This window comes from Homo sapiens, chromosome 1 (assembly GCF_000001405.40).
Source record: "Homo sapiens chromosome 1, GRCh38.p14 Primary Assembly".
NCBI lineage: Eukaryota > Metazoa > Chordata > Mammalia > Primates > Hominidae > Homo > Homo sapiens.
In genome coordinates, this window is record NC_000001.11 from 220,826,152 (window position 1) to 220,851,898 (window position 25,747).

At 39.2% G+C, this 25,747-nt stretch overlaps 2 long non-coding RNA genes across 2 annotated transcripts in view; one reads left to right on the top strand and one right to left on the bottom strand.

Annotated features, from left to right (window-relative positions):
* Window positions 1-3,103: 3,103 nt before the first annotated feature.
* Window positions 3,104-6,278, top strand: LINC01352 (long intergenic non-protein coding RNA 1352). The gene is made up of 4 exons (NR_110797.1): window positions 3,104-3,291; window positions 4,542-4,756; window positions 4,991-5,232; window positions 5,962-6,278. It is a non-coding gene; the product is annotated as a long intergenic non-protein coding RNA 1352 (long non-coding RNA).
* A 333-nt stretch (window positions 6,279-6,611) lies between these two features.
* HLX-AS1 (HLX antisense RNA 1) overlaps window positions 6,612-25,747 on the bottom strand; it is a 47,378-nt gene continuing 28,242 nt past the window's right edge. The window contains exons 2-3 of the long non-coding RNA NR_046901.1: window positions 6,867-7,041; window positions 6,612-6,707 (exon numbers count right to left, since the gene is read on the bottom strand). This is a non-coding gene — a long non-coding RNA (HLX antisense RNA 1). The remainder of the gene's footprint in view (window positions 6,708-6,866; window positions 7,042-25,747) is intronic.

Genomic DNA, 25,747 nt, shown 5'->3' on the forward strand with positions numbered 1-25,747 from the left:
ATACAATGATGGGATGAAGACTGCAGGAAGGGGTTGGAATTCTTTTCTCTCTCCTTTTGGTAAAAGTATGAGCATATATTTAAGTTTCCTGCCTTCTTTGCAGTCTGTCCCTGGGGGCCCCGACCTCTTGCAGCTCCTGACTCTTGACAATGCCTTCTTGTTGATCTCATCTCACTTTCCTCCACACTTGGCCGGCTGCCCACCGCTGTGTTTCTCTCTGAGATAATCCTGTCCCTATGATTCCTCTGGTTTACGTGGTGTTAAGGTGTTAGGGATCTTGACAGTTAAAAGTAACACAGAACACCCAGATCAGGCTCCACAAGCCTCCCCAGCCTCAGGCATTGCTGATGAAGAAAAAGTAAAGTCTTCTGTGCATCTCTGGAATCAGCTTCTAAAGAGTGACCCCTGGGAGGCAAGCCTGATGTGTGGTGCTCAAAGTCGGGACAGTGGTTACACTGGGTGGGAAGGAGGTGGGCGGTGATGGGGCCAGGTGCAGACAAGAGATTCTGGCCATGGGAAATACTCTGTTATTGATCTGGTGCTGATGACCCAAGTCTGTCCACTTTGTGAAAATGTATTGAGCTTGCGACTTGTGTACTTGTCTGAATGTGCATTACACATTAGTAGGAAGTTAAAAAACAGAACACATCACCCTGTAAGGCACATATGTTTCTGAGTGAAAAGCTAGCAGCCTGTGGTGAGCGAATGTGGTAGGGTGGGGACATGTTCTATGAGAATGGCCATCAAGGGTCCCCTTCCTGTGGGGACCTGGATTGACGATGCCTGTCAGAGTCCTGGAGGGGTGGGTTCTGCAGGTCCGTCCCACAATCCAGTCCCCAGATTAGAGATTTGTAAGTGGGTGACCCGCCTTGGAAAATTCCCCTCAGCACCTCTTATGTCTCTTGGCTCTCCATGTGGGGCACCCATACACATACAGAGCAGAACAGACCTGATTTTACATTTATCTTTTACTTTTTTTTAGAGACAGGGTCCTGCTCTGTCACCCACGCTGCTGCAGTGCAGTGGTGTGATCACAGCTCACTGTAGCCTCGATCTCCTGGGCTCAAGCAATCCTCCCGCCTCAGCCTCCCAAGTAGCACATGCCTGGCTAATTTTTAAAAATTTTTTTGTAGAGATGGAGTCTCCCTGTGTTGGCCAGGCTGGTCTCAAACTTGTGGCCTCAAACGATTCTCCCATCTCAGCCTCCCAAAGTGCTGGGATTACAGGCATGAGCCACTGTGCCCTGCCTTTTTAAAAAAATGTAAATTCTCAGTCCACAGTGTTGAGGATGTGAGAGTGAAGGGCTGCTCATCAAGAGGCTTGCTTAGTTGTTGAGTGTAGGTAAGACACTTAAAGAGAGTCACATTCTTGGGAGAAACTAAGATTCTTCCCTTGCTGTAAGAGGACACCATAAGAAGCCAAGGGTTGGCTCTGAACAGAGGGTCAAGCCAACCAGGCCCTGCTGTTATCACCTACGGAAATCCTGTGTGGCAGTAAATACAGTCCTCAGCAAAGCCTGGAGAAGAGATTACAGGGGGCACAGAGGGGCTGGGGATGCTAATGTGGAGGTTATTGGCCAGATAGTGGCCAGGAAACCAGAGACTAGGGGGGGTTCAGTTGGAGGAGCATAGGCGGAAATGGGAGAGAAAAATAAATAAATGAGATAAGCAACTTCATTTGCTTCCTCCCTTATTACTCTTTTGTTTTGTGTTTAGGACTCTGGTCTCCCCTGAGGTTGATCTCTTCTTCTGGGGACAACAGCCTGCAGGGTGATTTTGAAAAGCAGGCTCTGACTTCTACTTCCTTGTCCTGTACTCACCCCACCTGGTGTAATTCACCGTAATGCAGTGAACTTCCACATGGCTGCTGGGCATGCTTCCCAAAGCCAGCCCCTGGGCAGGGTTTCCCTTAATTTAGACCCCTGTCCCTACCTCTCCAAGTGCAAAGTGTACAAGGCTACACGCCCAGCTGCCCCCCACCCCCATACACACACTGGAGAGACCAAATGTTTGAGATCACTGTTGGGTAGCTGGGTCAAGAGAGCTTCATAACAATGTTGTTGGCATGTGGAGAGCTTTTCTTTTTCTTGGATCCCAACTGGAAATTATCAGCTTCGCCCCATGCTGACATGCGAATGTCCAGGCCTGCCTTTCTGCTGCAGGGCAATGCTCCAGGTTACAACATCGACACCAAGCAGTTTGTTGAGAAAACTTTGGACCTCATGAGCTGGGCAAGAGCGGCCTGGCAGGTGGTAGGAGAGCAGCCTGTCCATGCCTCAGCTGTGGCTCCACTGGCTCTGTGACTGTGCAGATTTTCTAACTTTTGAAGACCTCTGTTTGGATATCCATAAAATAGGTAAGATGGTGCTAATACCTACCTGTGATGTTGTGAAGATTTAATAGCATAATACTTAAAAGCACTTTGCATACATTAGCAAAGTGCCTAAATATTAGTTATTTGGCGGAGGCTATTAACCAGTGTGCTATGAGGTGCAAAGTAAGTTGTTACCAATAACTCAAAGAACTCCAGTTTGCAAATGTTTTACTTTTACTTAAGAGAATCTTTGCGGGAGAATTAAAACCAATTAATTCCCACCACTGGCCAAGAGCTCATGCTGTAATTATCCAAGACAGAATAGCTCAACAGAAAACCAAGTCATGCAATTCTGAGCACTTGTCCTTGGGATGCCACTTTGGGGCTCCCATATCTGAAATCATTTTGTTCTCAGTCCACCTGTGTGACATTTCTGTCCTGCTCAGCCACGGGTTCACAATAATCAAGGGAATGACCCAAGGGATTCACTTCTTCCAAGCAGCCGATGCCTTTGGAAGTTATGTTGACATTGCTTGTTTAAACCTAGGGCAAGAAATCCTTTCTCTGCCAGACCTGACTCTTCAGGCACACTCCTCAGTTTGGAGACGTGACTTGCCATGTAGTACTGAGAGGGAAAACAGGCCAGAAACAGCCTTGTTGAAAACTTCTTTTCTGCTTAGCTGCCCTCTGAACAGTCACCATAAAGATTGTGAGGTGCTGGAGCCAGGGATGACCTCATAAAGCCCTTTGCTAAATACTTAGTGAGCTGGTACTGTGGGCCAGGCACTGTGCTCATCATGAACAAAACCAAGGCAGACAACACTGTCATTAATGGAGCTTATCATGTAATACGGAAGCCTGGGATAAGCAACAAATTACACAAGTGACAAATGTGATGAGTGCTGTGAAGCAGAGTGCGGGGTGCCCAGGGAATCAGCAGAGCCCTGGAGGATAACAGCCTGAGCTCCAGGAAGGAAGGTTGTGGTGGTGCTTAGGGTCAGAGTGGGGACAAGCATTCCAAGCAAAGGGAAAAGCACATACACATGCTATATTAGTCAGGTTTCTCTAGAGGGACAGAACTAACAGGATAGATGTATAAATGAGGGGGAGCTTATTAAGTAGTATTGACTTGCATGAGCACAAGGTGAAGTCCCACAATAGGCTGTCTGCAAGCCGAAGAGCAGGGAAGCCAGTCCGAGTCCCCAAACCTCAAAAGTAGGGAAGCTGACAGTGCAGCCTTCTGAAGGCCCCAGAGCCCCCGGCAAACTGCTGGTGTAAATCCAAGAGTCCAAAAGCTGAAGAACTTGGAGTCTGTTGTTCGAGGGCAGGAAGTATCCAGCACGAGAGAATGATGAAGGCTGGAAGACTCAGCAAGTCTACTCCTTCCATGTTCCTCTGTGTGCTTTTATTCTGGCTGTGCTGGCAGCTGATTAGATGGTGCCCGCCCAGATTGAGGGTGGGTCTGCCTCTCCCAGTCCACTGACTCAAAAGTTAATATCTTTGGCAACACCCTCACAGACACATCCAGGAACAATAGTTTGCATCCTTCAATCTAATCAAGTTGACACCTAATATTAACCATCATACATCCCCTCCATGGGAAGGAGCATGATGCCTTATATAGTCTACTACCCTCAAACCAATCCTACTCCCTCATCCCCAACACCTTCTTCCCCTGGAACTCTAGATAGAGTTTCTTGACTAGACACATAAGCACAATTAGGCTATGCCTAATTATGAAGCCATCCCGGTTTATACATTTTCTTGTTATACTTGCCTATTTACAAGTTTTTCTTGTGAAAACTTGCCTATTCTTTTTGCTGCCTCCTCTCCACCCTAAAAGAGAAACTCTAAGGAAACACTCCCAGAGTTTATTATAGTTATTATGACTCAGATTTGAAGACTAGAATTTAATGGAGGTTTTCCTAACATTCCTTGGGGACTTGAAGGACTTTTTTTCCCACCAGCCACAGAAGTAAGATTATAAAACATTTATTTATTAAAAGAAAAGAAATCTTCTGGGCTCAAAGTTCTAGTTATTCTAAAAGCAGAGCACTTGTTCCATGTTTTCATATCGCCTCCCCACACCTACCTCTCCTCTCCCATTCTCTATTTCTTTATTTCTGTGCTGTAGTAATAAGCAAAACAGAGAAGCAATTGGTTTTAGTCTTGGATCTTGACCTTGCTGTGTGGCCTTGGCCAAGTCACTTCCCCTTTCTCAGCCTCAGTTTCTTCAAGTGTAAAATGAGAGATTGGATGGATCAGAAGATTCAGGCCTCCTTGAAAATCCCCATGGGTGAACCCCAACACACAGGCTATTCAGCCAGCAGCCCCAAGTCCTTTATGAAAAGCCAAGGTTGATTGAAACTCTCCCTTCTCAGGAGAGAAACTAGAGGCAAAGCTTCCTCATCAGCAGAGATAAACTTGGCAGGAGCCAATTCAGGTACCAGTAAAGGATATCTTCTTCTGCAGGCCAGCCTCCCTCTCTCCAGCTTGGTTCAATCCTGCATTCATTGACACTGCACTTCTATAAGCCCTTAGAACTCTGGGAATTCTCTCCTAGTTTTCCTAGGTATGCTTGCTGTTTCTACATGGGTTTCCTGTGAATGACCAGACCAATAATCAAATGCCTCCAGGACCCATAACACAAATGAGAAGAGTTCTCTCATTATGACAGGTAGGACCATGGCCAACTCAGGGCTCGTGCTTGATCGAAGGGGATCTGTGTTAGTCAGCATTCTCCAGAGAAATGGAACCCATTGGATAGATATGTAAAGAGATTTATTATGGGAGTTGGCTCATGCAATTGTGGAGTCCTAGAAGACCCACCACCTCCTGTCTGCAAGCTGGAGAAACAGCAAAGCCAGTGACGTAATTAAGTCTGAATCCAAAGGCATAAGATCAAGGAGAACTGATGGTGTAAGTCCCAAAGTCCAAAGGCTTGAGAACCAGGAGCTCTGATATCTAAGGGAAGATGTCCCAGCTCCGGAAGACAGAATTCACCCTTCCTCTGCCTTTTGTTTTATTTGAGCCCTCAATGGGCTGGATGATGCCTATTCACATTGGTGAGGGTGGATCTTCTTTACTCAGTCTACTGATTAACACCTGTTCCAGAAACGCCCTCACAGGCACACCCAGAGATATTGTTTTCCCAGCTATCTGGGCACCCCTTAGCCCAGTCAAATCAACACATAAAATTAATCATCATAGGCTCTAAGTTCTACTTAGCTCCAACCAGTTGGAGTCATTTTGGAATAAGTGTAAAGTGTTTTCAGATATTCTGATCTTACAAGTGAAGCTGGAAATTAGCATTTTTAAGTAAAGATGACTCAATTAAGAAAAAACAAAAACAAAAACCATGGCACGAGCAGAAGACGGTGCATCAGATTCAGGCCTGTGGTTGCTGGTTGGTTACCTGTGGGTGTAAGCAAAGTACTGGGTCCTTTCCCATTCTAGACTATATTTACAAAATCAGTAATGCTTAGCTATGCATTCTTTCATTTAACAATTATTTGTCAACTACCATGAGCTGGTATTATGTAGAATGCTGGTAAAATAGATAACTAAGACCCAACACATGTGTAAATGAGAATGAGTGTGATATAATCAATGTCTCCTGGGCTAGGTGTCTCTTTTTTGCTTCCACAGCACCTGTGTATACTTCCATTATGGCATGTAACATGCTGGCAAGAAATTGATTCATTGGGTTGTGTCTTCTCAGCTGCCTGAAGAATGAAATCATATACTCTAGTTTCATATGCCCAGCATTGTACACAACTTGACACATCACAGCAGCTCTAGGAAAGCACATAGGCTGACAACTGAGTGAACAACCCACTGACTGTGTGTCGTTCAGGGTTGGGAAAGCAAGGGCAGGTCTCTGTGCCCCATCTCTAGCTTTTCCTCAACTTAGGCTTTATAAACCCTTGCATCAAAAAATAAAAGCTAAGGCTAATTGTTTCAAATTAGGCTATCTTATTTCTACCCAGTAACTTCCCCACCACCAAGAAAGGAGTAATTTAAAGGAGCAAACTGTAGAAATAAATAGGAATAAAAGCATTACCTCTGAAAGCCAAGGCCATTAATTCATTAAAAAAAAAAAAAAAATCAAAGCCCGGGCGTGGTGGCTCATGCCTGTAATCCCAGCACTTTGGGAGGCTGAGGTGGGTGTATCACCTGAGGTTAAGAGTTTAGACCAGCCTGGCCAATGTGGTGAAACCCCATCTCTACTAAAAATACAAAAAAGTTAGCCAGGCGTGGTGGCAGGTGCCTGTAATCCCAGCTACTCGGGAGGCTGAGGCAGGAGAATCGCTTGAACCTGGGAGGCAGAGGTTGCAGTATGTCGAGATCACACTATTTACATTCCAGCCTGGGCAACGAGAGCAAAACTCCATCTAAAAAAAAAAAATCAAGATGAATAACATACTCTTATGTAACAGGTGAAAGTCTTAAAGGACTTAAAGGAAAGTCTTAAAGTAAAGTCTTAAAGGACTTCACTTCATGTGTGAATTCTCAGTGTAATGGAAAATCCATTGGTTTAGGAATCAGATCACCTGGCTTTTAGTCCACTTCTGCAACTGTGAGATCTCAAGTAACCTACTGACTCCATCTGGGCCTCAGTTTCCTTCACTGTAAAGTGAGAGGTAATTGGAGGATCTCCAGAGTTACTTCTGGGTCTCATAGACTGTGCTTCCTGGCAACCAGTTGCCTCTTCTGAGACCACCTGGCCTGGTAGGAAGAAAAACACAAAGAAATATATGAGTAAACATAATCATGCCTCCTTCTGCAACAGTAGCCATAACTCTGCTCTCCACAGGACAAAGGAATGAGTAATAGTGCAGTTGAAATCTCATCTACTTCCCTCTTCTTCAAGAACCAAGGGGCTGCTCCAAACATCTTGAAATGCAACATAAAACACAAACAGACCACACCAGAGACCAGATCCAGGTTTTAACAGCACTTTGATGCTTGGCAGATTTCTCTGGATTTGTTTTTTAGGCTGACACACAGCGCCTCTCCGTTCACCCTGCAGCATTCTCTAACTGGGACTTCAGAAACCCATTAGGAAAAGGAGTGCAGGGTGTGGAGTAAGGGAAGGTTTGGATGAAAGGCTAGGAAATGCTCCCTCAGGGGAAGGGAAATCTGGCACCATCAATAACTTTAAGTCTATAAAATTATTTTCTTCTGGGACTAAAAGCTCACATGATACACTATATTTATCACTCACTGAATCTCATTGTCTTATTCAAAATTTCCACTTCCTACAGTTAACTTCTTTTGGCCCATGACCTGTCACATTTCTTTTATGGCTAGTATATTGAATTTCAACTATCAGCAGTCATTTATTAAAAACAAAACACATCCACAGAAAACCAGGCAGACACAGCTTGATTAATAACAAGTCGGTGCTTTCCTCTCATACTTCTTTCAGGTTAGAGAAGTTGGAAAACTGCTAATGAGTCTTCTGTACCTTTTAAAGAAATGTCTTAGAGTAATCTTACAATTAGGAGTTTCCTATGTCAGGTAGAAATTAAATGCTTTGAAAGCTTCCAGTTTCAAAAAAGGTGGTGAGCTAGCACAGGATATTGGCTTCCTCCCAAAGCCCAATCTTGAAGTGAGAGGAAGTTGCCAGATCCTGAAAATGAAGAGAAAAGCTGTAGAGATTTTCATGGTGAGGGTGGGAGACATGGTAAGGGTGAGACTGGGGGAGGGCAAAATGTCACAGACACTTTGGGTGTGATGAGTAATTTTATGTCAGCTTGACTGGACCAAGGATGCCCTGACATTTGATCAAACATTATCCTGGGTTTGTCTGTGAGGTTGTTTCTGGATAAGGTTGGCATTTGAATTGGTAGACTGAGTAATGCAGATTGCCTTTCCTAATATGGGTGGGCCTCATCTAATCAGTTGAAGGCTTGGCTAGAACTGAAGACTGAGAAAGAGGAAAATTCTTCTGCCGGACTATTTGAGCAGGAACATCGGTCTTTTTCTACCTTTGGATTTGAACTAAAACATCAGCTCTTCCTGGGCTTTGAGCCTGCCACCTTTTGGACTGGAATTTACGCCATCAGCTCTCCTGTTTCTTAGGTGTTTGGACTCAGATTGGAATGACACTTCGGCTCTCCTGGGTCTTCAAGTTGCTGACTACTGACCTTGAGACTTCTTGGCCAGCCCCCATAATCCTGTGAGCCAATTAGTCTCCTGTTGGTTTTGTTTCTCTGGAGAACCTTGACTAACATACTGGAGTTATGCCTGGAAAGTGCTTGCCAGTTGGTTTCTTTCTTTCCTTCATATTTATCTGGATGGATCACTGCCCACCACATTGACCCTATAGGACAGGAAAATAGTTATGCCTCTCAAAGGCAACAGAATAAGATCCTAGATCCTGACCAGGATAGTCAATAGAGATTTGCTGGACAGGCCACTCTGAGGATTCCCTTACCAAAACCTTTTTAACATTCCATTTTACCTCCTCTACTGGTTACTTACCTCTTTCCATTTTTTTTTTAGCAATTGTTCTAGGGATTGCATATGCATCCTTAACTTATCACTTAGAGCTAATATTGCATGAAATATAAGAGCAATATGCAATATGATAGCAATGTCCTGCTGATGCTTTGGGCTTAGAGATTACCACAGAGAAAGACAGCCTCTGAAAAGAGCAGTGCCTGAGTGGAGGTTCTGGGCATTACTACATACCTAGGAATTATAGCAGAATGCAACATCATCCTGAAGTGCTTAGAAGCGTGCCCCTTTCCCAACTCACTTGGAGTCTATACAATCTAGGCATTTGACTCTCCTCCAAGGTATATACGAACAGTAATGGTAGCTGATAGGATTTCAGAAGAAAAAAAAAAAAAAAGAGAATTCTGAGGAACACAAACATCAGTAAAGAAAGGCCAAAAACTGAACAACATATACCAGAGGAAGCAGAGTTAAGGGTCTGGGAAGAACAGGAATATAAATAAATGTAATAAGTATTTTCAAAATTCTAATAAAGGATGTTGGAAACAAGAAGCAGATATAAATTATGAATAGGAGCCAAATGGAAATACAGGGTAGAAAAAATATAATAGTTGAAATAGAGAGTTCAGTGGGATGAAAGTATTTTTTCTTCCTTCCATTTCTTTAAAATATATGAGTGTTTAAAGCAAAAATTAGAGTACTCTCTTTGGGGTTTATAATGTATTGAGATATAATATGTATGTAACAATAGCACAAAGGCTGGGAGTGGACAAATGGAATTATACTGTTGCAATATGCTCTTATATTTCAGGCAATATTAGCTCTAAGTAATAAGTTAAGGATGCATATACAATCCCTAGAACAACTGCTAAACAAAAAATGCGAAGAGGTAAAGCTAAGTAGCCAGTAGAGGCGATAAAATGGAATGCTAAAAAATATTCAGTCATTCGGGTGCGGTGGCTCATGCCTGTAATCCCAGCCCGTTGGGAGGCCATATAAAACCCAAGTTTCTACTTTATGAAACTAGAAGAAGAAGAGCAATTAAACCCACAGTAAATATAAAGAAAGAAATGCTAGGGATAAGAGAAGAAATCAATCACATACAAAATAGAAAAATAATAGAGACAACTAACAAAATCAAAAATTGGTTATTTTGGAAGATTAATGAAGTGAAACATATGTCCACAAAAAGACTTTACAAGAATGTTTATAGCAACTTTATTCATAATAGACAATAACTGGAAACCAATGTCTATGAATAGAAGAATAGATAGATCAATGTGGTATAGTCATACAATGGTATACTACTGAACAATACAAAGGAAAGAACTGTTAGAACACACAACAGCATGGATCAATGTCTCAGACATGCTGAGCAAGAGGCAAAACAAAAGGGAGTAGATACTTTATGATCCCATTTATATGAGGCCAAGAACAGGAAAACAGACAAAAATCTATGGTGAAAAAAATAAAATATAAGAAATGGCTGCTGGTGGGAAGGTGGTTGACAAAAGAACTTTCTGGGATCATGGAAATGCTTTATATCTTGATAGCTGTGTGGTTAGATGGGTGATTTCATTTACCACTACTCATCAAACTGCAGTTAAAATCTGTGCATTTCACTTCTGAAGATTGTATATGAAGAAGAACTGTAAGCAAACATTAAACTTATTATGAAGTTTGCTTGTTGAAGTAGTAATGGTTAGCAAAAGAGTAAAAATATTGAGGATAATGGGAGCCAGATTTCCCATTGTTGGAGTTACAAACACAGCAAGAAGGATGAGTAGAATGTACTCTGTGTTGTTGAATTGAGATTAGGGGTATCAGTCTGAACATCAGTATAATAAAATACATGATATATTATATATATTTCCTAGCCATTGTCACCTGAAAAGACCTAAAAGCCATGCCACATCGGCGGCAATGGTTCTATCTAATGCCCAGATCCTGGTTTCTAAATACCACCTTCCATTAAAAGAAATCAGCGTTCTTTGGAGAAAAGGCTGATTCCAGGGCTGGGGCAGAAGTCAACAATGAGCCTAGAACATCTTGTTTGTGCTGGAAAGTCAGGAAGTGCTTGTCCAGTAACGAGGATATGTTAAAACCATATTGGAGCTAGCCTGAAGTGGCTGTCACAGGCCAAATCTATTATAATTTTATAATTGAATAGTAATAAATTAAACTCATTTGACAAAATGAAAATCCATTGATCCATATTGATATTGTCAGTCAATGAATAAATAAATAAATACGGGTAAAGAACAAGCTCTTCCTTACAGCAGAAGGAATGTTGGAGTTAGAAAATTATCAATGGGTGCTAAAACTGAAAAGTGAAAATTTAGGGAAGAAAAGAACATTTACATTGTCTCAAAGGATCTTGCAAAATATTACTTATTAGTTACGAAGGTGAAAATACTACCCTTACAGTGGAGAAATATGGCAGTTTTCACCTTACATCAAGAAGCTTTAGACAAACCCAAATTGAGGAATATTCTACAAAATAACTGATATGTCCTCTTCAGAAAAGTCAAGGTTAAGAAAAAAGGCTGAGAAACTGTTCCAAATTAAAGGAGGTTAAAGAGATAAGCCAACACAGCACAGTGCATGATCCTGGACTGGATACTGGTTTGGGAGAGCAGAATAGCTCTGTGCCCAGTACTGGGACAAATGTTACCATTTGAATATGCAATGTAGATTACATAATCATATTGTATTATGTCAGTGTTAAATATCCAGATTTTGATAATGGAACTGTGACATATAAAAGAATGTTTGTGTTTTTAAGGAAATAAACATTGAAATATTTAGGGATAAAGGGGCTGATATCTCCAGCTTACTCTCAAATGATTAAAAATGCCTACATATAAATAGATAGAAATAGGAAGTAAGGAAGCAAATGGGGCAAAATATGAAATGATTAATAAATCTAGGTAAAGAGTATATGGGCATTTCCTGCACTATTCTTTCAATTTTTCTTTAAATTTGAAATTGTATCAAAATTATAAGTTACCAACAAAATCCATGGGGAAAGGATTGTTTAGTAGAGGCAATCGAAATAGTGAGGAGTTAAAGGCAACCATAAATCTCTTCCCAAGGAACGAATAGTTATGTCAGACACAAATAATGGAATACAATGCAGAGTCAGAATTTTTAAATTATTTATCTGTCATCTATCTTATTTATCAATCAATCTTGAAAGGACAACATGACTAAATCTCAAAAATATATTTTTGCATGAAAAAGTAATGAATATAACGAGATCCACAGATAAATACGATTTGTGTACATTAATCACATATATGCAATAATATCATCATATTTACAGGTATGGACCTAACTAAGAACATAAAGTAGATACCCAGGAGTGGGTGCTTATGGGAGAGAAATGAATGAAAGTCAGGCTGGAAGAATAAAAGGAGAAAATAATAAAGTAAAATAACATAAGAAAGGAGCCTTGCAAGGGATGATGATGATGATATGACATGGACAGAAAAATATGATTAAGTTAAATATTTGCCACTGGTGTCCCAAAAATAGGAGGTGGTGGAAGAAAGGAAACAAAATGTGGAGTCCCTTTCAAGATGCCATTTAGACTCAGGTTTTTAGTTGATTCATTCATAAAACACATACTTGCCTGTGCACCAGGCACCTTGCTAGATGCTGGGAAAATAGTTTGAACGAGATAGGAACTAGGAACATCTTACAGTCCAGGAAACTAACCCCAGTGAGTGTTAGTATGTCACCGGAGAAGGCCAAGGATGGTATTTGCGATGAGGAAAGTTCAGAATAACTACCTTTTGCTGAGTTTGCCCAATTAATTCTGCTTCTATGAATGAATCATAGGAAGCCACTTTACCATTTCCCTTCAATTTATGCCTCCTTGCTATTTGGAGAATTTCCTTTAATTCCTGTTCTCTGTAATGTATTATCAATTTTGTTTTGACTAACTTGATCTGTTAAACTAGCCCTATGCACTGTTAAGAGTAATCCTCATAATCGTGAAGCCTGTCTATACCATTCATTGGTCCCTTGTTACTGTTCTTTTCCGTAATACTTGGTAGACATGTCGGGCCCTTCCTATGAAAAGCATAGGCTCTTTCTGCTCCCCTCAGGCCTATCATAATACTTTGCATTTGTTACACTCTCAGTTATATGGAATTAATAAATAAAGATATGCTAAATTAACTCAGGAGCAATCTAGTTGTGACATCTTGACTCTTGGGTTTCTACCCAAGTATCTAATCATTGCTATTGTATTTTAGAAGAAAAAAAATTTGTTAAGCATTTTTACAAACCTTAACATGAATTACTATACCTTTAGTCATTGGCAGTTCAGGATCCAACTAAGGAGAAATATATTTTCCCACAGATGGTCTAGGACGCAAACCACATTGTTTGTACTTTTGAAAAATAAAATAAAAATAAGATATTGCAAGAGCTTTGAAGTGCGTGGGTAACAATGGCAGGTTCCTTTGTTGAGCAGCGGATTTTCCTAATGCCACTCAGCTAGATTCTTATCAAACATTTCTGATCAGGAGACAATGAAAATGACCCAGCATGAATAAAAGAACAGATGAGAAATGTGCTGTGATAAAGGCTGAAAAGGAGGCAGGCAAGTGCCTGGGTCTTCATTGAAAACAAATAACCCGAGGTGGGGAGAGAGGCTCGCTTTATCTTTGGCATTCTTTTTATAGCTCTGATCCGGAATTGTTTTCCCTTGAAAATGAATGGAGTGCCAGGGAGAGCTGCTTGATCTTATTCTCTGGCCTTTTCATTGCACTGTGCAGCCATTTTAATGAGTTATTTCTCACAGTCGCCCTACCAGGCAGGTCATCATCAATATCCTTGTTTTCCAGGCAAAGCCTAAGTGAGGCAAGGGCTGAGGGTGATTCAGTAATGGGTCTTAATTATGTGAGGTTCATGTGGCTGAGGATGGCGAGCAGCTGTTTTGGGGAGTCTCTCCTGAGTTCAGAGGAGAAGGTATGAGCAGAGCTGGGGCAGGGGCAACATTACAGCAAAAGGAGTTCTGGACTAGGAGAGTGTTCCCTGCATTATCATGGAGGTTTCTGAGAAGAGGAATCTGGCTTCTGCCTCTTGGTTTGTACCACCAAAGCATCTACTAGATGCTATAGATGTACATCTCCCAGAAAATAAATGCTCAGTTGGTCGATTGATGAATGATATGAACAAGTCTTTATGTAGGGATATTTCGACCAAAGCTAGGGACAGATTGATCCGGTCCAACTTGACCTACCAAGAAGAAAAGACCAAAAGATTCTACGAGGTCACTGGCATTTCTTAGGATGCATAAGTAGTACTTATCTGCCATTAACACTGTTCAATTTAATTCAAAGTTCAGTCAAGTTAATGCTTTTGATCATCTGCTACATGGAAGGTGATAGACAAGGCTCTGGGTGGATTGCAGAAATAAATCAATTATGGCTCCTGCCTCATAAAGTGAAAGGTAGAGTGGGAGAGAAAGAAATGCATGCAACTTCTTACAATACAGGTATCTGAGAATATGAGAAGTGCTATCTTAGAAATTCAATTAGTTCATGAGACTATGGAAGAGGAAGTGAAGAATTCCAGTTTGGGCATTGGGAGTGAAGGGATAATAACTACACGTATTAACATTACTATGTGCCATGCAGATGATAAGTGCTTTACCTGAATTATTTTATTTAATGCTTACAACTGTATACAATAAGTACGAATGCGATTTTAATTTTCTTCATGATCATACGGAAGCAGAGAGCAGTTAAGTAACATACTAGCAAGCAGCAGAGGCAGAATTGAACTAAGGCTGTCTGACAGCGCTTAAGCTAAGTTTAAAGAAAATGCATGGATTTAGCACATGTTATATTCCAGTCTCTGGGTTAGGTGTTTAATATATATTATTTATTTACTTCTATAAATAACTCTAAAAATTATATTATCTCCCTTTGACACATCTGAGATTCAAAGAGTTTAAATGACTTGATCAAGTTACATGGTTAATAAATATCAAAAGGCACTTTCCTGCCCAGACTGGTGTGGCCTCATGCTGTGTCATTTCCACTCTCCACAAGGCTGCTTCAAGTAGAAAATAGTCAATGCTTCCTCAAGACCTCAGGAACCCCAGGCAGCTAGCCACGTCCAGCTGAAGGCAATTGACAGATCTCAGGCACGGTCTCTTAAAAGCCTCCAGCCCCCTGTAGGTTCAAGCCCATGGATAAACTGCCATCTGGAGCCCTGCAGCATCAACAGACTCAGGTAGAGCTTTCAGCCCTTCAGAACTGGTCATGTTGTCCCCAGGGTAGTTGTATTAGTTATCTATTGCAGTGTAAAAAATTACAGCAAGTTTAGTGGTGTAAAACATACATTACTATCTCATGGTTTCAGCATTCAAGCATCTGGCCATGGCTTAACTAGGTCCTCTGCTCAGAGTCTCACAAGGCACAAAGTATTGGCCAGTTGCATTTTCATCTGGAGCTTGGGCTCCACTTCCAAGCTCATGTAGGCTATTGGCAGAATTCAGTTCCTCCCAATGGTAGGACTAAGGTCCTCAAGTCCTAGATGCTGCCTCCCTCCAGAGGCAGTTGACAGCATGGCTGTTTGCTTTTTAAAAGCCTGCAGGAGAGCATCTGTTATGGACTGAATGTTTGTGTTCTCCCCCAAATCTGTATGTTGAAATCCTAACCCACAATGTGATCATATTAGGAGATGGGGCCTTTGAGAGATTATTAGGCCATGAGGATGGAGCCCTCATTAATGGGATTAGTGCCTCTATATAAGGAACTCCAGAGAGCTCTTTGGCTCTCTTTCTGTCATTTGAGAAGGCAGCTGTCTACAAAACAGGAAAAGAGCCCTCACCAGAACCTAAACATGCTGGCACTCTGATTTTGGTCTTCCAGCCTCCAGAACTGTGAGAAATAAGTTTCTATTGTTTACAAATCACTCTGTCTGTGGTAATTTGCCATAGCAGCTCCAAGGGACTAAGGCAGTGCCTCGTTCCTGAGGAAGGACACATGCCTCCTTTAAGGACTTTCATTTGATTAAGTCAAACCCTTGCAAAATAACCTCATTTTTGGTTCACTCAAAATCAAATGATTTGGGACCTCAATTACATCTGCAAAATCTCTTCATTTTTTGCAATATAATGTAGACAAATCACAGGAATGATATCCCACCCTATTCACAGGACTTGCCCACACTCATAGGGAGGGAATTATGTACAGCAAGTACACCATGGAGCAAGAATTTGAGGATCGTCTTAGAATTCCACCTGCCATGGGGCAAGAATTTGAGAATCGTCTTAGAATTCTGCCTGCCATGTGAAACTCATTCCTAGCACCGTGGATGCTTTGATCTCCTTCTGGCTAAAACAGGACCTCGTTATCTAGGCAGAGCCAGAGAAGAGTCTATATATGAGCCACATGCATTTTGGAATTGCCTGTCTCCATTTGCTTTTGTGCAGGGGTCACACACCACCATCAGTGAGGTTTGGCCATGGGTCAGCATTTCTGATGAAAGATTTCATGGGAAAAGGATGACATTTATGTCAAAAGTTGATTTGGTGGTTAGCTTTGGTGATTATCTTTTAATTATCTCTGCTTCCCCTCTCCCCCATTGTTGTTAACAGTCAAGACTTAGTTGTGCATATTATTTATTGAAAGAGCTAAAGAGGAAAAGGCCAAGGCTAAAGCCTAATAACTGAGAGGAAACAAGTCAGAAGACATCTAAATGTCAATTGATGGAATTGGCTTCTTGACTTGAAGATTATATCTTTAAACAGTCTTGGGAAACACCATTTTAATTCAACAAAGGAATTCTTATAAATACAATTTAATTGCTTTTTCAAGGATTGTCTATTGAGACCCCACATTAGGTTTTGTTTTGTCTTGTTGTGTTTACCATTTTCTTGCTTGCACACTTAGCCCCAAAGGGACTGGAGAATAAAAGAAGGCTAAGCCTGCAACACTAAGCACATTTGTAAGAAAGCAATTTAGGGAAAGCAGTTTTCAGTTTCATTCAAAAGTGTCCAATATTTCAATATTCCTAGACATTTCTTGCCATAGCAGTGCCAAAATAGAGACAACTTTTGCCCTGTAGTCAACTCTGATGATGAGCCATTTTTATTGAATCAAAAAGCCCCAAAACTCCCACCACAACTCTGATCAAAATCTGATCCTTAGAATGTCGTTAAGACTGAATAGGAGTTTTATTTCTACCATCTTCCACCGCTTTATTGATTAACTCTGCTCAGAACACAACCAGCTCACAAAGGCTCAGCTCCTAGAATTGGATGAGAAAGGTTTTTTACCAGAGAGAAGGGCAGAGGGATTTTTGTGGACTGACATCTGGGGCCCAGACTGGGACCACTGTGAGCCTGGAATATTCTTTCAGTCCTCCCCTCCTCATCATCCACCCATTTAAGACCGCCTCAAACTTGAAAGTCCTGATGACTTCACATATCTTGCTGGGTCTGTAATGAAGATGCTTATAAATATTACAAAAGATTTATCACTTTAGCGTGAAATTCTCTGATACCAGCAGGGAGTTTTTAAACACAACTGGCAACAAGAAGCATATGGTCAGAGATTCAAGTTACTGCTTTCTTTCTTTCTTTTTTTTTTTTTTAATTGTTGTCTGCCAAGGACAATATATTTTTTTCCCTTCTTCAAAATAAACATTGTGCAGGAATGTGCCTCAGCAAATGGCTGGGGCTCTATTATATTTCATGCAGCTTTCTAAACAATTTTCAACCCTGGGCTGGCCTGGTGTCAAACAGAAGGCAACCAACAATAGCAAAATCCCATTAAAGCCAAGAAGGTTCCTTCCTGAGGTGAACCTGGCCAGAAATAGTCATCTTGGCTCATTCTCCAGTTTGGCACTGGGGACTAATAATGCACGGTCTCCTAATGGAAATTATCTAATTTCATCCAAGAGCTCCTCCAGAGAGAGCCGGGCTGACGCACTAACAGTCAATATAACAACATTCTTCTTGAAGTGCTGAACAATAGGCCTTTGGAGAGACTGTGATAAACCACGTCAGACTCCGGACAAACACGAGTGTAAAAATAGGCATCAGAGGCATTGACACAGCCACCTAATTTCTCAGGAGGGAGGCCCACAGAGGAGGGATTGTTCAGAATGCTTGTTGAGAATACTTCATCAGAAGTAGTGGGAGAAGGATAGTGAAGAAAGAAAGAAAAGGGATGGGGAGAGAGATAAAAAGAAGACTGAATAAGATCAAGAATGGGGAAAAAATAAGAAAATGATAAATGAAAGAGAGGAGTTAATTCTTCATCTGTGGTACAACTGTCCATGGTCTGCTAATATAAATCAAACTTTGGGTGTGATTCCCATTAACATCATGGGGCTGTGTTTCAAATGCTCTGTGCGAAGAAAAGCCAGCAGGAAATAATGCTCCATTTAAGGAGATATATGTATGTATATGTGTATATATATATATATCTCACATATGTATATAGGAGTTCTGTGAATTTACCACTATTCTAAGACCAACAGGATCATCCTGAGGCATACATTTGGTTTTAAGTTTCCTCATGTTATTACTTGTTTTCTGAATATTTTTAACCTCCTCTAAATTTTAAGCTTCTGAAGAGTAGGAACTGGCTTGTGTCTATAACGATTATCCACATCAAGACAATAAGTATCAGTCAAAAGTGTTGATTGGTTGATTATTCATTGAGCCTAATAGTCTTGAAACATCAGAGAGTCTCTCATGAGTGGGTATTTCAAGAAATAAATTTCTCCAAAATGGGTAATTTCAAGGCCCAAATCCATGTCAACACCTCCCTGATTCTGCACCCACTACCACCTTCCTACTTCCCTTCCCCACCAACAAGCTAGAAAATGGCGTGGGTTCTGGAATACAGAATGGCTTCCCTAGACTACAGGGCCTAAGATAGACCATGGGACATTCTCCTTGGGCCCAACATGTGAATTTGCAACTCTAGGCTGATGCAAGAGAACGTATTCTAGCTATATTCACACCACTGGAATAATATTCACAGTCTGAATCAAGATGGTGGCTCAAGCACATGCCTGCTTTCCCTGCCCAAACCCCAATCCAGATATATATTCAACATACAGATAACACTGTGTCTTGGGAGGGAAATTCTGTGTCTGGGGGATACCAGAGTGAAGAGCCTACTTCTTTAGATATGCTTTTGTACATTTTCAAGGTTGAACTCTGTGAATATAACACTATTCAAAAATTTAAAATTAAGTTTAAATAAGCTAATTTTAGAGTATCAATATAAAATAAAATGGAATTTAAGGCCAAATGCATAAAAGGAAAAATGAGACATATTTATATTGATTAAAAGTATACTTCATGGCTGGATGTGCTGGCTCACGCCTGTAGTTCCAGCACTTTGGGAGGCTGAGGCAGGAGGATCACGAGGTCAGGAGTTCAAGACTAGCCTGGCCAACATGGTGAAACCCTGTCTCTACTAAAAAAACAAAAATTAGCCAGGCATGGTGGGCACCTGTAATCCCAGCTACTCAGGAGGCCATGGCAGGAGAATCACTTGAACTTGGGAGGCGGAGGTTGCAGTGAGCTGAGATGGCACCACTGAACTACAGCCTGGGCAACACGAGTGAAACTCCATCTCAAAAAAAAAAAAAAAGGACAGTTAACTAAGAAGTCACTTAACTTCATGAATCTAACAACTTCGAAATATACAAAACTGATAGAAATATAAGGAGAACCTAATGATGCATAAAAAATAAGACTACACAAAAAGAAGGTATTATATAGTAATAGCATTTGAATAACATACACATATCTCATAGATATATGTAAAAGTTGGTATTCAAAAAGACAACACATTTTAAAAAACATACAGAAATTTACAAAATCAGTTCATATGTTGAGCCACAGAGAAAATATCAACAAATTCCAAAGTAAACAGGGTCATGCAAGTTGCATTCTCCTAGTGCAAAGCAATAAAAATGGAAATTAATGAAAGTGCTAGCCACATAAACACACACATATAAATCTGTCCACTTGGAAGTATAAAATATCCCTCTATGTTCTTGGGTATAAAAGCAAAGCAAAACTATTTAGAAATAAATTATGAGAACTCTTATCAAAATAAATGGGACATAATCAAAGCAATACTCAGAAGAAATTTTGCAGTTTTAAAATGCATTTTTCTTAGAAAATAAAAGATTGAAAAATAATGAAAGCATTCAACTTAAGAATAATAGCAAAAACAAAATTAATAAAGTTAAAAAAGAAAAAATAGAAAATATTATGTGCACATATATTAAACCATTTTAAAAGGAAAATATTGTGTGTCCTTGGGATTTCTTTTGTAGAATACATTAAACTGGATAGATGTTGTCAAATATTTATTTAAATAAAGTATTGGCCAGGTGTGGTGGCTCATGCCTGTAATCCCAGCACTTTGGGAGGCCAAGGTGGGCAGATCACGAGGTCAGAAGATCGAGACCAGCCTGGCCAACATGGTGAAACACCACTTCCACTAAAAATACAAAAATTAGCTGTATGTGGTGGTGCATGCCTGTAATCCCAGCTACTCAGGAGGCTGAGGCAGGAGAATCGCTGGAACCTGGGAGATGGAGGCTTCAGTGAGCTGAGATTATACCACTGCATTCCAGCCCGGGCAACAGAATGAGACTCCATCTCCAAAAATAAAAATAAATAAGTATCAGTAAAGATGATTTCTGGTGTGTTTTGCATAAAATATTGCTAGGATTAAATTACAACACAAGTAAAGGATTTGATGCAGTGCTTGTACCAGAATAATTACTATTTAGCTGCTATTATTACCATTAAATATCTTTTTGTGACAGGAAAATCACAGAAGAAGTTCATTTTAGTGTTAAAAAATTTTTTTTTAAATTTACTGGACTAAAACCTGCTTTCATATTGTCTTTCTCTCATTCGCTCCGTTAATGGTTACCTTACTCCTTGTCTCTACTCCCCCAATCTTAAAACCTGAATCACGGTACTCTTTTTCATACAGGACACATTTTCAAATATACGGTGAAGAAGGATGGGCCATTACACATGTGCATAGTTTTCACTTCTCTTATCAGGTGAAACATTCCCAACTGTTTATTTTTCCTTACTTAAATGAAAAGGAATCTAGGTCTTCCACCTTCTTTTAAAAAATATTTTATTTTTTATGGATACATAATGGATATACATATGGATGTACATGTGGTAATGTAATACCTTAATATAATTTGTAAAGACCAAATCATTGTAATTAGGGTATCCATCACCTCAAATATTTGTCTTTTCTTTATGCTAATAACATTCAGATTATTCTCTTCTAGCTATTTGAAATATATAATGGGGTACTGTAAACTGTAGTCGTACTACTCACCTATCAAACACTAGGTCTTATTTCCTATGTCAAACTGCATATTTATACTCATTAATCAACCTCTCTTCATCTGCTCCTACTCACTACCTTTCCCAGCATCTGCTAATCACCAATTTACTCTCTATCTTCATGAAATTCACTGTTTTTGCTCCCACATATGAATGAGAACATGTGATATTTGTCTTTCTGTGCTTGACTTACTTCACTTCACTTCACATAATGACCTTCCATCCATGTTGCTGCAAATGACAGAATTTCATCTTTTTATGGCTGAATAGCATTCCACTGTTTATATATACCACATTTTTTTATCCATTCATTCACTGATGGGCACTTATGTTGATTCCATATTTTGGTTATTGTGAATAATGCTGCAATAGACATAAGAGTGCAAACATCTCTTCAATATACTGATTTCATTTCTTTTAGATATATACCCAGTAGTGGAATTGCTGTATCATATGGTAGTTCTATTTTTAGTTTTTTGAGGAAACTCAATACAATTGTTATACTGGCTGTACTAATTTACATTCCCAAACACAGTGTACGAAATTCCCATTTCTCCATATCCTTGCTAGCATTCATTATTCCTCGTATTTTTGATAAAAGCCATTTTAACTGGGGTGAGATGATATCATATTGTGGTTTTGGTTTGCATTTCTCTGATAATTAGTGATGTTAAGCATTTTTTCATATACCTGTTAGCCATTTGTATGTTTTCTTTTGAGATATTTGTGTTTAGGTCTTTTACCCATTTAAAAATTGGATTATTTGTTTTTTTGCTACTGTGTTGTTTGAGGTCTTTATATATTCTGGCTATTCAATCCCTTGTCAGATGGATAGTTTGCAAATATTTTCTCCCATTCTATGGGTTATGTCTTCACTTTGTTGATTATTTCCTTTGCTGTGCAGAAGCCTTTTAGCTTGATAATCCTATTTGTTGATTTTTGTTTTAGTTGCCTGTGCTTTTGAGGTCTTACACAAGTAATCTTTGCCCAGGCCAATGCCATTGGGCATTTCCCCAATATTTTCTTTGAGTAGTTTTATAGTTTCAAGTCTTAGATTTAAATCTTTAATGCATTTTGTTTGAGTTTTGTATATGAGGAGAGATAGGGCTCTAGTTTTTTTCTTCTACATATGGTTATTCAGTTTTCCCAGAACCATATATTGAAGAAATTGTCCTTGCCTCATTGCATGTTCTGGGCAACTTTGTTGAAAATGAGTTGGCCATAAATGCATGAATTTATATCTAGGTTCTTTATTGTGTTCCATTGGTCTACATATCTGTTTTTATGCCAATACCATGATGATTTACTTACTATAGCTTTGTAGCATATTTTGAAATCAGGTAGTGTGATGCTTCCAGCTTTCTTTTTTTCACTCAGGATTGCTTTGGGTATTGGGGGTCTTCTGTGGGTCCATATAAATTTTAGGATTCTTTTTTCTATTTTTGTGAAAAACGTCATTGGTATTTTGATAGGGATTGCATTGAATCGGTAAATTGCTTTGAGTAGAATAGTCATTTTAACAATACTAATTCTTCCAACCCATAAACTGGAATGTCTTTCCATTTTTGCATTTCCTTTTCCATTTATTTCTTCAGTATTTTATAGTTTTTCTTGTAGAGATCTTTACTTCTTTGATTAGATTGAGTCTTAAGTATTTTATATTCTTTGTAGCTATTGTAAATGGAATTACTTTCTTGACTTCTGGGGTATATAAGTGCTACTGATTTTTGTATGTTGATTTTGTATCCTGCAACTTTACTGAATTTGTTTATTAGTTCTAATCCTTTTTTGGTGGAGTCTTTAGGATTTTCTAAGTATAAGATCATGTCAACTGTGAACAAGGCTAATGTGACTTCTTTCTCTCAATTTAAATATGATTTATATTTCTTTTTTGCCTGATCGCTCTGGCCAGGATTTCCAGTACTACGTTGAATAAAAGTGGTGAAAGTTGGCATCCTTGACTTGAAGTTGGCATCCTTGACTTGTTGCAGATCTTAGAGGAACGGCTTTCAATTTTTCCCTGTTCAGTATGATCAGTTAGCTGTGGATTTGTCAATGTGACCTTAATTACTTTGAAATATGTTCCTTCTATACCCAGTTTGTGGGTTTTTTCCTCATGAAAGTATGCTGAATTTTATTACTTTTTCAGCATCTATTGAAATGACTATATGGTTTTAGTCCTTGGTTCTGTTAATGTGATGTATCATATTTATTGATTTGCATGTGTGGAACCGTTCTTCTATCACTGGGATGACTCCCACTTGATCACAGTGAATGTTCTTTTTGATGAGTTGCTGAATTCAGTTTGGTGGTTTTTGTTAAGAATTTTTGCATCTATTTTTATCAGTAATATTAGTCTACAGTTTTCTTTCTTTTTGTGTCCTTGTCTGATTTTAGTATCATTTTAGTATCAGGGTAATGCTGGCCTCACATAATGAGTTTAGAAGGATTCCCTCCTCTTCAACTTTTTTTGGAAGAATTTGAATAGAATGTTTGGTATTAGTTTTTCTTTAAATGTTTGGTTGAGTTTGGTAGTAAAGCCATCAGGTCATGGCTTTTTTAAAAAACATTTTTTTTAATAGAGGCAAATCCTTGCTCTTTTGCCCAGGCTGGAGTGCAGTGTTGTGATTATAGCTCACTGCAGCCTCGAATTCCTTGGCTGAAGTGATCCGCCTGTCTCAGCTTCCCAAGTAGCTAGGACTACAGGCATGCACCACCAAACCCAGCTACTTTTTTTTTTTATTTTTATGTTTTGTAGAGACGGGTTCTTGCTGTGTTGTGCATGCTGGTCTTGAACTCTTGGCCTTAAATGATCCTCCTGCCTTGGCCTCCCAAAGTGCTGGGATGACATGCATAAGCCACCACGCCTAGCCTGGGCTTTTCTTTGTTGGGAGACTTTTTTATTAAGCCCTCTATCTCATCACTTGTTATTAGTTTGCTGAGGTTTTCTCTTTCTTCATGGTTCGATCTTAGTAGGTTTTATGTGTCCAGGAATTTATCCAGTTCTTCTAGGTTTTCCAATTCATTGCTCTGTGGTTGTTCATAATAATCTCTAATGGTCTTTGTATTTCTGTGTTCTCAGCTATCATGTCTCCTTTTTCATTTATAATTTTATTTATTTGAGTCTTTTGTTTTTCCTTAGTCTGGCTAAAGATTTGTCATTTTTATCTTTTCAAAAAATAGACTTTTAATTTTGTTTATCTTCTGTATTTTTTTAGTCTCAATTTCATTTATTTTTACTCTGATCTTTAGTATTTTTTCCCTTCTATTAATCTTGAGTTTGGTTTGCTCTTGCATTTCTAGTTCTTTGAGGTGCATTGTTAGGTTATTTATTTGAAGTCTTTCTGCTTTTTTGACATAGGCTTTCATTGCTATAAAATTCCTTCTTACTATTGCTTTTGCTGCATCCCATATTTTGATATGTTATATTTCCATTTTCATTGTTTCAAGAAATTTAAAAATTTTGTAATTGACCCTTTGGTTCTTCAAGAGCACGTTGTTTAATTTTAATGTGTTTGTGCATTTACTGAGGTTCCTTTTATTATTAATTTCTAGTTTTATTTCATTGAGATAAGAAAAAATACTTGATATGATTTCTACTTTTTTGAATTTGTTGAGACTTGTTTTGTAGCCTAAGATATGTTTTTGTAGCCCAAGATACAGTCTGTTCTTCAGAATCTCCCCTGTGCTGATGAAAAGAATGTGAATCCTGCAGTCATTGGGTTAAATGATCTGTTATTGTCAGGCTTATTTGTCTAGTTTGTAGTTTAACTCTGATTTTCTTTGTTGATTTTCTGTTAATGATATCTCCATTACTGAGAGTGGGTTGTTGAAGTTGTATACTATTATTGTGTTGAAATCTATCTCTCCCTTTAGATCTATTAATGTTTGCTTTATATACTTGGGAGCTCCTATGTTGGGTGCATGCATATATTCTCTTGGTGAACTGTCTCCTTTATCATACATAGATTTTCAGTTTATATTCTCTTGCTGAATTGTCTCTTTTACCATATATGGTGACCTTCTTTGTCTCGTGGACTTGTAGTCTGTTTTGCATGATGTAAGTATACCTATTCCTGTTCTGTTTTGGTGTCCAGTAGCATGCAATATTTTTTTTCACTCTTTCACTTTCAGTCTATGCATGTCATTATAGGTGAAGTGGGTTTCCTGCAGGTAGCACAAATTTGGGTCATGTTTCTTTATCCATTTAGCCACTTTATGGCTTTTAATTGGAGAATTTGAGTCTATTTAAGTCAGTATTTTTATTGGGCAGTAAGGACTTACTAGTGCCATTTTGTTGCTTATTTTCTGGTTGTTTTGTGGCTTTTCTCTTTCTTATTGTCTTCATTATTGGTTATTTTCTCTGGTAGTATGTTTTAATTTGTTGCTTTTTTCAAAAAGTGGATCTATTATAGGTTTTCACATGTGGTTATCATGAGGCTTACAAAAATCATCTTATAGACATAACAAGTTATTTTAAAGAGATGATAACTTAGATTACAAAGAAAAGAATAGAAACAAACAAATCAAGAAAAAATGAAAAAACTCTCTAATATGTTAACTGCAAATGTGGGGACGTCTATATTTTGACTT